Genomic DNA, 14,911 nt, shown 5'->3' on the forward strand with positions numbered 1-14,911 from the left:
TTCCTTATAGAAAGAAGTTTAATTAACTCTGGTTTCTAGGCCTTCATTTCTTCTGACCATGAATTCTCTCTGATCCAGTGTTCTATTGGGACCATGATTTGTCCCTCATATTCACTGCATGCCTGCCTCCTACCATGTGTTATAGGTTATAGTTTTTTCTGTTTATTTTTAAACCTTTTATTATGGAAAATTGCATACCTACCCAAAAGTAAAGTGGTAGATGAATCTGTCTTTACTGTCAATCAGCTTTAACAGCTTCAACAGTTAATAGCATGGCCAATGTTGTTTTATCTTTTCCTTCAACCCCTTAGTTTTAACCAAATCTCAGATGTTATGCAATCTACAAATATTTTAGTATGCATTTATAAAAGATAAGAGCTGCTTTTAAAAGACATAATCATAGTACCATTGCTACATCTAGTAGAATAAATCTTTAATATCATCAAATAAGCAGATGACCTCATTAGTTTTTTTATTTTTAATAGTTTGAAGTGAGGTCTATACAAGGTCCTGCATTCTATGCAGTTAGCTGATCAGTCTTTTAAACTAGAGTTCCTTCTCTTGAAATCGATTAGTTTTTCTTTGTGATACATTTTTATCTACTCAGGCATTCAGAAATTTAATTCTTTTAATTTATTGCTTATTTCCTTAAAAAAAGGATTTTTGGGGGGATCTTGGAGGATGAGGAGACAACCTGAACAGGAAACCTTGATTTTTAATTATCAATGATTAAAATTAGAAATATTTTTGACAGAAAATGCATATTATAATAGAGACTCTTGTACCCACTAACATTTTTTCCCTTGGCTTTTAAAATGAAAGATTAAACTGGATAGCCAAAGAGTACAAAGAAAAAGCAAAGGAAAAATGTGTGGCTACCTTTTAAATTTTCATCAGGTTTGGATTCTACTAAACACTATAAATCTTTTTGATACTCTAGGGATATTCTTATAAATGTGGCCAGCTTGTGTTAAAATCATGTTGTGTATATGAATTTGACAAACAGAAGTAGATATTCTGTTAAACATTCTGTGTTTTCATGATAGTGAGTTATGGTTGAGTGCTCTCAGTGTACTGAGTCGTTTAGAATATATTCAGTACAATTGTTATTCTGAAAGAACATCCCTTTTATCTTCATAACATATCACAATTGTCAAGAAAAAACACTAGCTTAAAAGTTAACACTGGAAATAAATAGTGGTGGATGCAGATAACATTTTGGGGCTTAAGAGTTTTGGAACCACACGTTTTAAGTTTAAAGTGCTCTCTTTAGACCAGAGGATCTCTAGGATTTCCCTTATCTTTGTTTATTACATTGGAACAGACAGAGACTCAGTTGTGCTATAGAACATCTAGGAGTAGTTTAAAGAGGTTTCAAAGTCCCTAGTTAATAACTAATATTCCTCGTATTTCTTGATGAGCCTTCTCAGTAGAACTTTATCTTAAAACTTAGAATTTCTTCTTCTCTTGGTTAAATTGTGAGAACTGTGTCTTATAAACGTTGCTGTCTTAGAATTAATGACGAGGCCGGGCACAGTTGCTCACGCCTGCAATCCCAGCACTTTGGGAGGTCGAGGCAGGAGGATTGCTTGAGCCAAGAAGTTCGAGACCAGGCTGGGCAACATGGCAAAACCCCATTTCTACAAAAATAGAAAAAATTAGCCACGTGTGATGGTGTGCGCCTGTGGTCCCAGCTACTTGGGAGGCTGAGGTAGAAGGGTCAGTTGAGCCCTGGAGGTTGAGGCTACAGTGTACCACTGCACTCCAGCCTGTGTAAGAGTTGAGACTCTGTCTCTATTAAAAAAAAAAAAAATTGTTTTTAAAAAGAAATAACAATGGGTAGAAATTTAGGAGTCTGGATTTCTATCCTGGTGTTGTCGTTATCTCTGTGTCCTTGACTTTATCACTTAATTCTGCTCTCAATTTAGGCATTGAATTAGAATAGCGACATACACTATTTTATATAATGAATAGGAAGGGGAGAGAATTAAGCCAGCCTTGCACTGCCTTCTTTAAATAAAGTCTCATGTACAAAACTGATAGGCTAAAAAGATAAAGGAGGAACTGTGCTGACTGAAGTGTTTGTGAGGTGGGAGAGAGTTTTGTAGCGTTGTCTGCCTTCATTCCCCAGAATAGTCCCAGGACATCTCTGGTGGATTTCTAAGTGTGAATACCTCTAATCTACATGAATTTGGAAGTTTTTTTCTGTCTCTGAAATTTTTTGAAGCAATCATGATACTGTGAAATCTCTGCATTTCTGTGGTGGACCACTTTTACAAAATAGCGGTAATGGTAGAAGTATTTATGGGTATGTATTAATAGATGATGTTTAATCTCAAATGTGTTAAATACTATGGGGTGTGTGTGTGTGTGTGTGCGCGCGTGTGTGTGTGTGGCTGGTTTGGTGCTACTGCTGCGAATCTTTTTTCTTACTGTAGTAAATATACATAACGTAAAAATTTTTATCTTAACCATTTTAAGTATACAGTTCATTGGGATTAATTGTGTTCACATTGTTGTACATTTGTCACCATCATCCATCTCTAGAACTTTTTCATCTTCTCAGATCGAACTTCTGTACCCGTTAAGCAATAAGTCCTTATTCTCCCTTCCTTCTAGCCCTGGCGCCCACCATTCTACTTTCTGTCTCTATGAATCTAACTACTTTTTAGGTACCTCTCATAAGTGGAATCATAACAATATTTATTTTGTGTCTAGCTTATCTCATTCAAAATAATGTCTTCAAGGTTCATTCATGTTGTAGAATGTATCTTTCTCCACCCTTCTTTTTAAGGGTGAATAAATATTATTTTATTGTTATGTGTATGCAGCATTTTGTTTAGCCATTCATCTGTTGTTGGACATTTGGGTTGTTTGTACCTTTTGGCTCTAGTAAATAATGATGCTGTGTTTGGGATAATCTTTAAAGCTTAGATCATTGTACTTCTTAATGTTACAGTTTAGGGATATTCAGTCTTATCTTTAGTCCCACATTCCACCTCAGTGTACCTGAGGCTGTGGTACACTTCCATAAGTCAGCAATTCACTGGAGAAGTGATTCTCGACAGAGGTGGCAGTGGTAATAGGAGTGGTAGAACTGATTTTCTTTGTGGGCCCCTACCCCCTTGAGATTCACATTCCCTTCAAGCTGGATGTTTATAGCTGAGGTGGTGGATGCTAATTCTGGAATATGTATTTGCATAGATTAATGATACATGCTGTTGAGTTGTGTGCTTTTGGTGTTATAAATCATCTTTGTTCTTGAATCAGAGACTGAGGCAGACATTAGAAGATAGCCCTGGTTTTTTAACCCACAGTACTTCTAAGTGCTGCTCCTTGAAGATACATCTGACTTCTTAGCTATTGATGAGTTTTCCAACCATTTCTAATCAGGCAGTTATGTTTTTGAGTTCTGATTTCAATCAGAATATTATAAGGCCTTTTATCTTTGCAGTATGTATGTTTCTGGAAACTTTTATCTATTATTAAGGAAATTTGCTATATGAAGGTAACTTTTTTCAGTGTGTTTTTTTTTAAATTATCTACAACTGAGTAACAGTATGATTATATTATTGTTCTTGAGCAAATTTGTTTTCCCCAGAGTTAATAACTGCCTCATATATGGTTCACTGTGAATCTTCTCTCAACATAGTTAAATACATCAGTTGGTCACTCAGTTCTCCCCCTCTCCCCCCCCTTTTTTTCTTTTTTTGAGTTAGCTATCCATCCATACTCTTGCTTTAATCTGGAGTGGTTGCACTTGAGGTCTGCTTCACAGGGCTGTTGCCATTGTTTTGTGAATGCCTGATTCTGATTATCTGTTTCCGGGATTTCATCTTTTTTTATTTTTCACTTTCCCACTCTCATTTTGGTAGAGTATATATTCTAAGTCTTCCTGAGATAAGAATTCTTTCTTAGTAGTTTTTAATTATTTCTCAAGCTTTTTGGGTGTTTGTATGCCTGAATATGCCTTTGTCTTTTTTCAGACAGGATCTTGCTCTGTTGCCCTGGCTGGAGTAAATGGTGCTATCATAGCTCGCTGCAGTCTTGAACCACTGGACTCAAGTGATTCTCCTACCTTAGCCTTCTGAGTAGCTGGCACTATAGGCATGTGCCACCATCCCTGGCTCATTTTTAAATTATTTTGTAGAGGACAGGGTCTTGCTATGTTGCCCAGGATGGTCTCGAACTCAAGCTATCTTCCTGCCTCGGCCTCCCAGAGTGCTGGAATTACAGGCATGAACCACTGCCTGGCCTTGAAAATGTCTTTAAATAAATAACCCTCATAATAGATCAGCAGTTTTATTGGGTATAGAATTCTGGGGTAGAAATTTTTCTCCAGAATTGTGTTTGTATTTCGACAATGTTTTCTATTTTCCATGGTTACTTTAAAAGGTTAGATGTGACTTTGATTCCTGAACCTTTGTATGTGATCTCTTTTTTCTTTTGTGATTTATTGTGGGGATTTTTCTTTTTCCCCACGTTCTGAAATCTTGCTGTGTTTGCATTCTTCCCCCCCACCTCCCCTCTTCCCTTTTCCCAGTCTTCTCCCTCCTTTCCCTCCTCCCCTTACCTTTCTTTTTCCTTGTAGTTTGCTCTCAGTGGACTCTTTCAATCTAGAAACCACTCTTTCATTCTAGGAAAGACAATTTATTATTATTTTATTCATCTGGGATGTGTGTTCTTCTGACATTGCTATATTGATTCAGTGAAATCCCATCAGACTTTTAAAATATGTGTAATGTGACATTTTGATTCTAAAATATGTATGAAAATGCAAAGGACCTAGCTAAAAACAATTTGTAAAACAGTAAGTTGGGGGACTTAAAACGACCTGATTTCAAGGTTATCTGTAACACAGTCAGCCTACAAGTACAACCTGCAAGCTACAGTAATTAAGGCTTGGTGGAAGGATATTAAGGATAAACGAATAGATCAATGCAATATAATAGAAAGTCCAGTAGACAAACACACATGTATAGTCAATTTATTTTTGACTGTGGTGCTTATAATATTCAGTGGGAAAAAAATAGGCTTTTCATAGTGATGTAACAAACTGGAAAAAGGTTTGAAAGGATAAATTTTAATTTCTACTTCATACCATATGCAAAAATTACCTCAAGATGGATCATTGACCTAAAAGTAAAAGCAAAAACTCTATAAAGCTTCTAAAAGAAAACATCCAAAATATATTTGTTATCTGGCATAGGCAGAAATTTCTTTGATAGGACAAAGAAACCACTAAAAAATAATAAATTGGATTTTATCAAAATTAAAAATTTCTGCTCATCAGAAGTTTTTTAAGAAAATAAACAGGCAAGGCCAGGCGCAGTGGCTCATGCCTGTAATCCTAGCACTTTGGGAGGCCGAGGCAGGCGGGTCACTTGAGGTCAGGAGTTCAAGACCAGCCTGACCAAAATGGTAAAACTCCATCTCTACTAAAAATACAAAATTAGCTGGACATGGTGTCGCATGGCTGTAACCCCAGCTACTTGGGAGGCTGAGGCGAGAGAATTGCTTGAATCTGGAAGGCGGAGGTTGCCGTAAGTAGAGATCATAACACTGCACTCTAGCTTGGGTGACAAGAGCAAAATTCTGTCAGGGGGCGGGGGGCGGGGAGGAAAGCAGGGAGGAGGAGAGGGGAAGGGGGGGAGAGAGAGAGAGAGAGAGAGAAAGAGACTAGAAGAAAACATTCACAATGTATATATATATATCTGACAAAGGACTTTTGTATATATAATAAACCAAAACTCAAAACAACCCAGTTTACTTTTTTGTTTTTGAGACAAAATCTCACTCTGTCACCAAAGCTGGAGTGCATCATAGCTTAGCCTCCAGAGTACCTGGGACTACAGGCACATTACATCACACCCGACTCATTTAAAAAAATTTTTTGTAGAGGTGGGATCTTGCTATGTTGCACAGGCTGGTTTTGAACTCTCCTTAAGTGATCCCCCTGCCTCGGCCTCCCAGAGTGCTAGTATTACAGGCATTGAGCCGCTGGGCCAGCCCAAAGAACCCAATTTGAAAAATGGTTTAAAGACTCTGATAGACACTTCACAAAGAAGGCATTGGAATGGATGATAAGTATATGAGAAACAGCCATAAGAACATTAGTAATAAGAGAAATGCAGACTAAAACAAAAAGGTGATACCACTACACTTCCACCCGAAGGGCTAGAATTTAAAAGACCAGGCAATATCTTGGCAAATATGTGGTGTAAGCAGAATTCTCCTATATTGTTGAGGAAGCAGAAAATGGTACAACCACTTTAGAAAACTCTGCTAGGTTTTTAATAAAATGAAACAAGCACCTGCCCCTGACCCAGCAGTCCTACCTTTTGTTATTTGCCTAAGATGAAAATACTCTCAGAAAGATTTGTAAGTGAATGTTCATAGAAAGTTTATTCAGAATAGCCGCCAAATTAGAAAGAACCCAGAGTGTTCAATAATGGAAGAATGAAGAAACAAATTATGGTATATTATTTAACAAAATACTCTTCCTCAATAAAGTGGAGAAAATACTGATACCTGCAGTCATATTGATGGATCTCTGAAAATGCTGAGCAGAAGAAGCGAGACACAAAAGAGAACATACTGATTCTATCTCTATGAAATCTAGAGTAGGCAGAACAGATCTGTGGTGATTGAAATCAGATCAGTGCTTGCCTCTGGAGGAGATTGACAAGAATGGCACCAGGGAACCAGGGAATTTTCTGAGGTGATGGAATGCTCTGTATCTTGCTGTATTTTGTGAAATAGAAAGGTGTCTGCATTTGTCAAAACTCATTGAGCCACATATGCTTATGATTTGTGCATCTCACTCTATGTAAATGATGCCTCAATTTTAAAAGCAATCCTGAACAATAACAATTATATATATACATATATTATTATTATTATTATTATTATTATTATTATTGGTGTTTGTTGTTTTTTTTTTTTTGAGACAGAGTCTTGCTCTGTCATCCAGGCTGGAGTGCAATGGTGCGATCTCGGCTCACTGCAACCTCCGCCTACTGGGTTGAAGTGATTCTCCTGCCTCAGCCTCCCAAGTGGCTGGGATTACAGGCCTACACCACCATGCCTGGCTAGTTTTTTGTATTTTTAGTAGAGACAAGGTTTCACCATGTTGGCCAGGCTGGTCTTGAACTCTTGACCTCAGGTGATCTGCCCGCCTCAGCCTCCCACAGTGCTGGGATTGCAGGCATGAGCCACTGCGCCTGGCCTAATTTTTGTATTTTTAGTAGAGATGGGGTTTCGCCATGTTGGCCAGGCTTGTCTCGAACTCTTGACCTCAGGTGATCTGTCTGACTCGCCTCCCACAGTCTGGGATTACAGGCTTGAGCCGCCGTGCCTGGCCAGTAACAATAAAAATTATAGTGATAGATTTTTTTACTCTCACTGAGCAGTATTTGTGGTTTTCTGTCCTTGTTCTCAAAGCACCTATGTATTTCGACAATTTAGATGACTTGATGAATATATGAACACTGTGCTTTTAATGAATTCAGCTTTTATGCCTGTGGAACAATACTGTGATAAATTTTATTTCTGCCCATGTGGTTTCCCCTTTCATAATGTTTGAAAGAACCCTAGAGTGAAATTTTTAAGAAGGTTATCAAGTTTCTTTTGAGAATTATTCTAGAGTATCTGTTGCACCACATCAGGTATAGTGTACCCCTAAGTAGCTAGAGTCCCCTAAAAAGTTGAGGGGATGTGTTTTTAGTGTGCTTTAAAAATAACATTTACTATTGTTTCTTTCTTTCTTTTTTTTTTTTTAATACAGAGAAAGTATAAAGAAGAAAGCCAAAATGGCCCATTATCTTATCATCCAGGTAGTTCATGTTACCCTTTAAAAAATCAGTAGTACCTGCTTCTGGTAAGAGAATTCAGTTGGTGCAGAAAGTTATAAAACAAAAAATCAGCTTCATGCCCTTAATATTTATCTCCAAAGATAACCCTGTTAAATGTAAAATGCCTTGCAGAAAAGCTTATTATATGTCAGAATACATAATTTATATAGATCCTTAAAGAATATTTACACACAATAGCAGTTTTTTTCTGCACTTTTTTGTAGCTTGATTTTTTATTCACTTAGTAACTTAGTACATCTTGAAAATATTTCTGAATTAACACATACCCTTTTCCTCCTCCTCCTCTTCTTCTTCTTCTTTGTTTTTTGAGATTTTCTCACTCTTGCCCAGGCTGGAGTGCTGTAGTGCAATCTCAGCTCACCGCAACCTCCACCTCCCAGGTTCAAGTGATTCTTGTGCCTCAGCCTCCCAAGAAGCTGGGTTTTAGGCATGCACTACCACACATGGCTAATTTTTTTTTTTTGAGACGGAGTCTCGTTCTGTCGCCCAGGCGGGAGTGCTGTGGCGTGATCTCCGCTCACTGCAAGCTCCGCCTTCCGGGTTCACGCCATTCTCCTGCCTCAGCCTCCCGAGTAGCTGGGACTACAGGCGCCCGCCACTGCGCCCGGCTAATTTTTTGTATTTTTAGTAGAGACGGGGCTTCACCGTGGTCTCGATCTCCTGACCTCGTGATCCGCCCGCCTCGGCCTCCCAAAGTGCTGGGATTACAGGCGTGAGCCACCGCGCCCGGCCCACATGGCTAATTTTTGTATTTTTGGGTAGAGATGGGGTTTCACCATGTTGGCCAGGCTGGTCTTGAACTCCTTGCCTCAAGTGATCCACCCACCTCGGCCTCCCAAAGTGCTGGGATTACAGGGGTGAGCCACTGTGCCCCACCCACATACCTATTCTTAGTTATATAGTATTCATTACATTGTATAGGTGTATTATATATTTAACTAGTTCCTTATTGGTAGCTATTTAGATTATTTTCATTGTTGAATTAAAAACAATGTTTTAGAGAACAACTTTGTGCTGGTGAAATGTACTTTTAAAAATTAACCAATGTTTAATTCTTCATAGATTGGTAATTTTCAGCCCTTTTCTTGTCATAGGAGAGACTGGAAGTAGCTGTGTTTTCTCGACCTTGTTACTGTTGAGATACTAGATTGGAAAATTCTTTGTTGTGGGAGGCCGTCGTCCTGTGCGTGGTAGAATGTTTAGTGACAGCCAAAATGTCTCCAGACATTACCAAATGAACCTTGGAGTGCAAATTTGCTTCTTCTTAGGACCACTGGTACAGCGGGCACTGCAGGTTTACACAGATGAACCTTTTTCCTGACTGAGGAGCTGCAGAAGTCAGATATAAGAGGTGTATTCCTTGGGGTTTGAATGGATGCCAGAAAAGGGGAATTTGGGGAATGGCTATAGGGATATCTCATAGAGTCCAGGGAGAACATCAGAGCTTTGGGAGCAAGTCATAGTTGCCAGAAACCAAAGCAATCCAGTATGTGTTCTTTCATACATTTAGCAAATGTTTGTTGAATGTCTGCCATCTGCTAGTTACTATGGTGTGGGCATAGGTATTTCATGTTGAAAAAAGAGATGTGATTGTTACTTCATGAAGCTTGAGATTTAGAGGCAGACACAGACGTGTGTGTGTATAAAATTATAATCACCTACTTGCTATTAAAGGAAGAGAACCAGGTGCTATGAGAAAATGAAATATGGGCCTAATTTAGAAGGAGGGTGGTGAAAATGTAGTCAATGAAGGCTTCTAAACTTGAGTGAGTTTTACTAGATTTGGGGAAGGGATTGATGAGTGTTCCAAGTGGAAGGAATCGCATGTATTTGAAATTATCAAGGTGGGAAATATTCAACTTGTCATGGAATGGAAGGAATGGCAGTTCACATGGAGGGTGACTGAATGAGAAAGGAAAAACAAACAAATTTAGATTAAGGGTGTAGAGACAGTTAGGTATGGAGAGATGGGCCACATAATGTAGGGCCTTGTAGATAAAGAGCTGGATGACATCCAAAGTGCAGTGGGGAGTTATGGAAAAGTTGTAAGTAGGTCAGTGATTTACAATTTAAACTGATTATTTACAGTCTAAAGTAATTATTCTGGCTGCCGTGTGGACTATGTACTGAAAGGAGGTAAGAATATAGTTAGGGAGACCTGATAAAACTATGGTAATGTAGGTAAAGCGTAATAGTCACCTATCATGACTTCAATAGTATTAAATTGATGACAGTACATGTAGAGAGACTGTAAAGACATTTTGGAAGTAATTAATAAATATTGGTGATAATTTGAATGTAGATGATGACAAGGAGGAAGGTGTTCATAGTGACTTGTAGAATTCTGGCTTGAATTAATGGGTTTAGTTGCGATTACTGTGATGGAGACTACTGGGTATGGAGCATCTGTAAATAGGGGTCATAGGGCAAGATCGAGTTTTAGATAATATTTAAGTTTGAGGGACCTGTGACATTTTATTAGGGATATCAAAACATACATATATATATTATATATATATATAGCGTGTGTGTATATGTATTTATGTATACATGTGTTTCTGTGCTTATGTGCATGTATCACATACTCTGGTGTTGAAAATATGAGTCTGGTGCCAGAAGTGAAGTTGTAGATTGGAGATAAAAAGTTGAAAATTGCTGCCATATAGATGAAAGGGTTGCCTAGGAAGAGAGTGAGAATGTATTTTGATGAGAAAATTGTGTCCAGGGCTGAGCCCCAAGAAAATCTAACATTTAGAGGTTGGATAGAAGAGGAGGGACAGGCAAAAATTAAAAGATGCTTGATAATTAGGAAGCAAACTGGTAGTGCATGATGTTATAGAAATCTAGCATTGTTTCAAAGTGCAGTTGGGAAGGAATTGTGGTTGGCTATGTCTAATGTTCTGAGAATGCTAGTAAAGCTACCTTGTTGGCAAAAACTCCTGAGATACACTTTAAACTACTCTTAATTTCTTACTTACTTGGGAAGAGGTTTTAGCTGCCACTGGAAATTGGGGCCTAAACAGGGAAAGGATCTCATGAAAACATGTAACCTATAGATTTAGGGCAGTTTTCCTTACCTTTTCTTGAAGAAGCATAGCCCAGAAAAACTGTTCTAAGGGTAAACTTAGAGTACAACTGACACAGGATCAGCTCTTAGGAAACAGTCAATAGCAACATGATGCAAACATGAATGTTTGTCTTGTCCTCTTTAATGTTACTCTTTTCTGTGGTGATAAAACATTTCTTTGTATGTCATAAATCAGTACTACTTCAGAATACTGCAGACTTATCTAATTTGTCTAATACATTCTGTTCACTAAATATGAGTATCAGAATTTGAAATTTTCTATTTAGAATGTTTGAGCCATTCTTCTGGACATTTCATTTTTCAGTTTTTCCTTTTGCCTCATCTTAGATCACAGCAAAGATACTCATTTGTTGGTAGTGCCAGGAAGCAGGCAGTTTCCATGGTAACTGACAGACCGAGTTTACTGTGGAAATTTCCGGAATTAACAGAGCTGCATTGCAGAAGGATGCATAAAGCAGTATTCATCTAGAGATCGTAACAGTACGGACACAGAAGAACAGTTGCAGTGATGTGCAGGGTATGTCTTACCTTTATTTTCCTGTCTAAGGAAGATTAGTCATATATATATATATATATATATATATATATATATATATATATATATATATATATATATATATGCATGCTGAGGAGACAGTAAAACAGCTTGGGGCGTTTTAGTATATGCTGGCTTGATACAGTCAAAGTTGCTTAGGAAAAAGAAGGAAGAAATGATTTGGGAAAGAAGGTATATTTGATAGCATTGGGAAGAAATCAAGATCAGATGATCGAGGTAGAAGAATGTGATAGTGAAATAAGAGGAGAAAACATACTTCAAACTAATTAAATAATAAAAGGTTCTTACGGATAGTGGTTCTAGGCACAAGAAGATATTTATTTATTTATTGAAGGAAAATAGTAGACATTGTCAAGTTTGAGAAATCAAGTTCTCATGTGCAGGAAAAAGAAATCTGTTAAGATAATTAGCTATTACTTGCTGAAAGATAGGTAGATATGAGAGATGTCCAGGATATTAAACAAGGAGGTTTGCTGCCATCTTAGCGTACTTACCTAAGTGATGAGAGAATCCTAGAAGGGTTTCTGCCCCTAATTCCACTCTCTGTTGATTGGTGGGCCATTTTCAAGAAAAATTCTGAAATGTATCTTGAGATTAAATTCTGGAAACAGAACTATAGGATTTGGGCAGATAATTGAAGGTGCTTATCATATAGAGCATAATTATAAATGTAAAAGAGAAAAAGGATATAGAAAATATGATTTAGATTATTTGCATGATAGATGCAATTTAGGTTGCTAGATACCATTTGGTATCATTTATATCATGTAGTCAGCAAACTACAGCTCATGAGCTGAATCCATCCTGTTTGCTTGTTTTTGTAAGTAAAGTTTTATTGGAACATAGCCACACCCATCTGGCTGCATAGTTGCAGGAGACTAGTGGCTTGCAAAGCCTAAAATATTTGCTATCTGGTTCTTTACAGAAAAAGGTTGTGACTCATGATTTAGATGGTGTACTGGATTTTTCAAGGCTTCTGTGAGATTACCACAAACTTGGTGGCTTAAAACAACAGAAATTTATTCTCTCACAGTTCTAGAGGCCAGAAATCTGAAGGTGTTGGCAGGGCCATGCTTCTCCCGAAGGTTCTGGGGGAGGATCCCCCCTTTCTTTCAGCTTCTGGTACTGCTGCTCTTCCTTGGCTTGTGGCAGCATAACCGTAATCTCTATGGTCTTCTTCCCTGTGTCTGTCTTGTGCATCTCTATCTTCTCCTTTTCTTTGTTTGGTCTCCTATAAGGATAGTTATTTTATTTAGTGCCCACCTAATCCAGAATCTCTTTTTTGAGATCTTTAATTTTATCCGTAAAGATAGGTTACTTTCTGAGATTCTGGATGGACCTATCTTTTTTTTGTGTGGTGGGTGGTGTATAGTTCACCCTACTACAGATGGTATTGAAGAACTGGGTTTTGGCTTCTTAAATCACATTGTATATTAAGGATAGCCAGTTCTTAGTGTTTCCTTTGACCTGCTGGAGAAGATATTAAACTCACATTTCAAAGGCAAGGTGATAGAGGCATAGTTGAATCATAGAAGATAGCCTTTGTGACACAAACATAAGCAGTAGAGTAAAGGGAGTACTAGAAAATTCATAGGAGAAAGAGTACTAAAATATTCACTGGAGACGGATGAAGACCAGTGCCTGATGCTTCATATCGTTCTCTTCTTGTCTCTTCATATTTTTCTCACCCTAACTCCCACCTCCAAAAAAACAACAAAATGAATTTGAAATTTTAATGAAAAATGGTTGGCACAAAAACAAAAATCACAGTTTTGAGGAATGGCTCATCGCTAAATTACGGCACTGGGAAATATATATATATGATTCAAAAGAAGTAGACTTAATAAGCAAGTAGAGGAGTGGCAGTGTAGAAGGTACACACCAATGTATAGACCAGTGAACCTGAGATTTGGCTTTTGTTGAGAGCCTTTTTGTCATTGTGGGAGTATACAAACTATTGGCCTGGGCAGGAGAGAAGGTCTGTGACATTTTCCTCTTCTCATATGGGCATATTTGTAAACCATAATAACAGTGGTAGGTATCTATTTGCATTCCCTGGAAGTCTCATTTACTGTATTTGGGTATATTCTGAAATGTTTAAAAAGTGATGAATTCACATGGTGAAGAATCAAATAGTAGGCAAGGGATTCCAATGTAGACGCTGGAGCTGCAGAGAAAAGCCACCTTATATTGCCTATATTCTCACCTGCGCACTTTGAAATGAAGCTTCTGATACAGACTTCATGGAGATGATCATAGAAGAATTAAATAGAAATGGTTAATCCAAATTAGGGTTCACTAAGAGTAAGTAAGCAGTTCCAAACTAGCCTAATATACTTTTTTGAAAGTGTTACTAGGACTGTAGATCAGGAGTTTGGAACAGACTAGGTGTATCTTGATTTCAACATTTATGGGCACAGAGGAGGAACATGAAGCCCAATACAGTATTTTCAGGAAGTTTCTTAGAAGGACAAGAGTGAAGTCTGCGTTTTCTTTCTAATCAAATTCTGTTAGTCTGTGACCATGTATATTCTGAATATCAAATAGGAAGCCATGGGAATGAAAGTTTTCTTATTTTCTTCCTTTAACAAAACATTTGAATTGTATGCCTAAATACCTTCATAGAAAGATACAAATTCCCTTGAATCCAACTACAATTAGACTTTTAACTTTTAATTTTTCTGTTAGTGTCATGAGTATATGATAAGAATATCATAAGGAACTAGAATAAAATCAGGTATAAAGCATAGATTGGGATTAAATTGAGCTGGTTGATCATAGTTCACATGTACAGGCTAAAATTTAAGCAGTATAAGGTACTCATGAATACCCTAGATTTCAGGTCTTTGTGTTATGTAAAATACACATGTTCCTAAATGTGTCTATACATAAAATTTATTTCTATAAAATTGTTTTCCTTTTCTCATCGACATGTTTAAATAAGTGTCTCAAAAATAATAAAAGTAAGCTTGAGGGTGTTTAATAAGTAGGTGTTCAAAACACAACTCACATAGTATTAAGAATTAGCTAACAGATCACAAATGAAAAGTAGTTGAGACTCTTGGTTTTTAATTTGCTTTAAGAACTAAATTTCTGACTTTGTAAAAGCAATCTGAGGTTTGTAGTACAAAATGATATATGAGTAGCAGTGTCCTGCTAAAATATTTATTAAGAAACAAAGATGAAAATATGAAACACTGAAAATTAAGATGACTTAACTCCCTATAGGATCTGATAATGGATACTAATAGTAACACAGCCAGAATAAGGAAAATTTTTACCCAGGGATTCTTTTATAGCAGAGACTTCATCCCTTTTCATGTTCATTTCTTCTCCTGCCCACACTGGTAACTACCAGAAAAAAACTGGGGAGAGATGGGAAGAGGGAGGATG

General features: G+C 37.4%; 1 protein-coding gene across 6 annotated transcripts in view; it reads left to right on the plus strand.

Annotated features, from left to right (window-relative positions):
* Positions 1-14,911, plus strand: part of MAP2K4 (mitogen-activated protein kinase kinase 4) — a 122,952-nt gene that overhangs the window by 37,494 nt on the left and 70,547 nt on the right. Inside the window, exon 1 of one of the 6 annotated variants that reach the window (XM_005256753.4) lies at positions 11,419-11,479. The exons of the other annotated variants lie outside the window; for them this stretch is intronic. The gene's annotated coding sequence lies outside the window, so the exon portion shown is untranslated. Of the gene's footprint in view, positions 1-11,418; positions 11,480-14,911 lie in introns of those variants that run through there. 6 annotated transcript variants of the gene reach the window in all.

This window comes from Homo sapiens, chromosome 17, assembly GCF_000001405.40.
Source record: "Homo sapiens chromosome 17, GRCh38.p14 Primary Assembly".
NCBI lineage: Eukaryota > Metazoa > Chordata > Mammalia > Primates > Hominidae > Homo > Homo sapiens.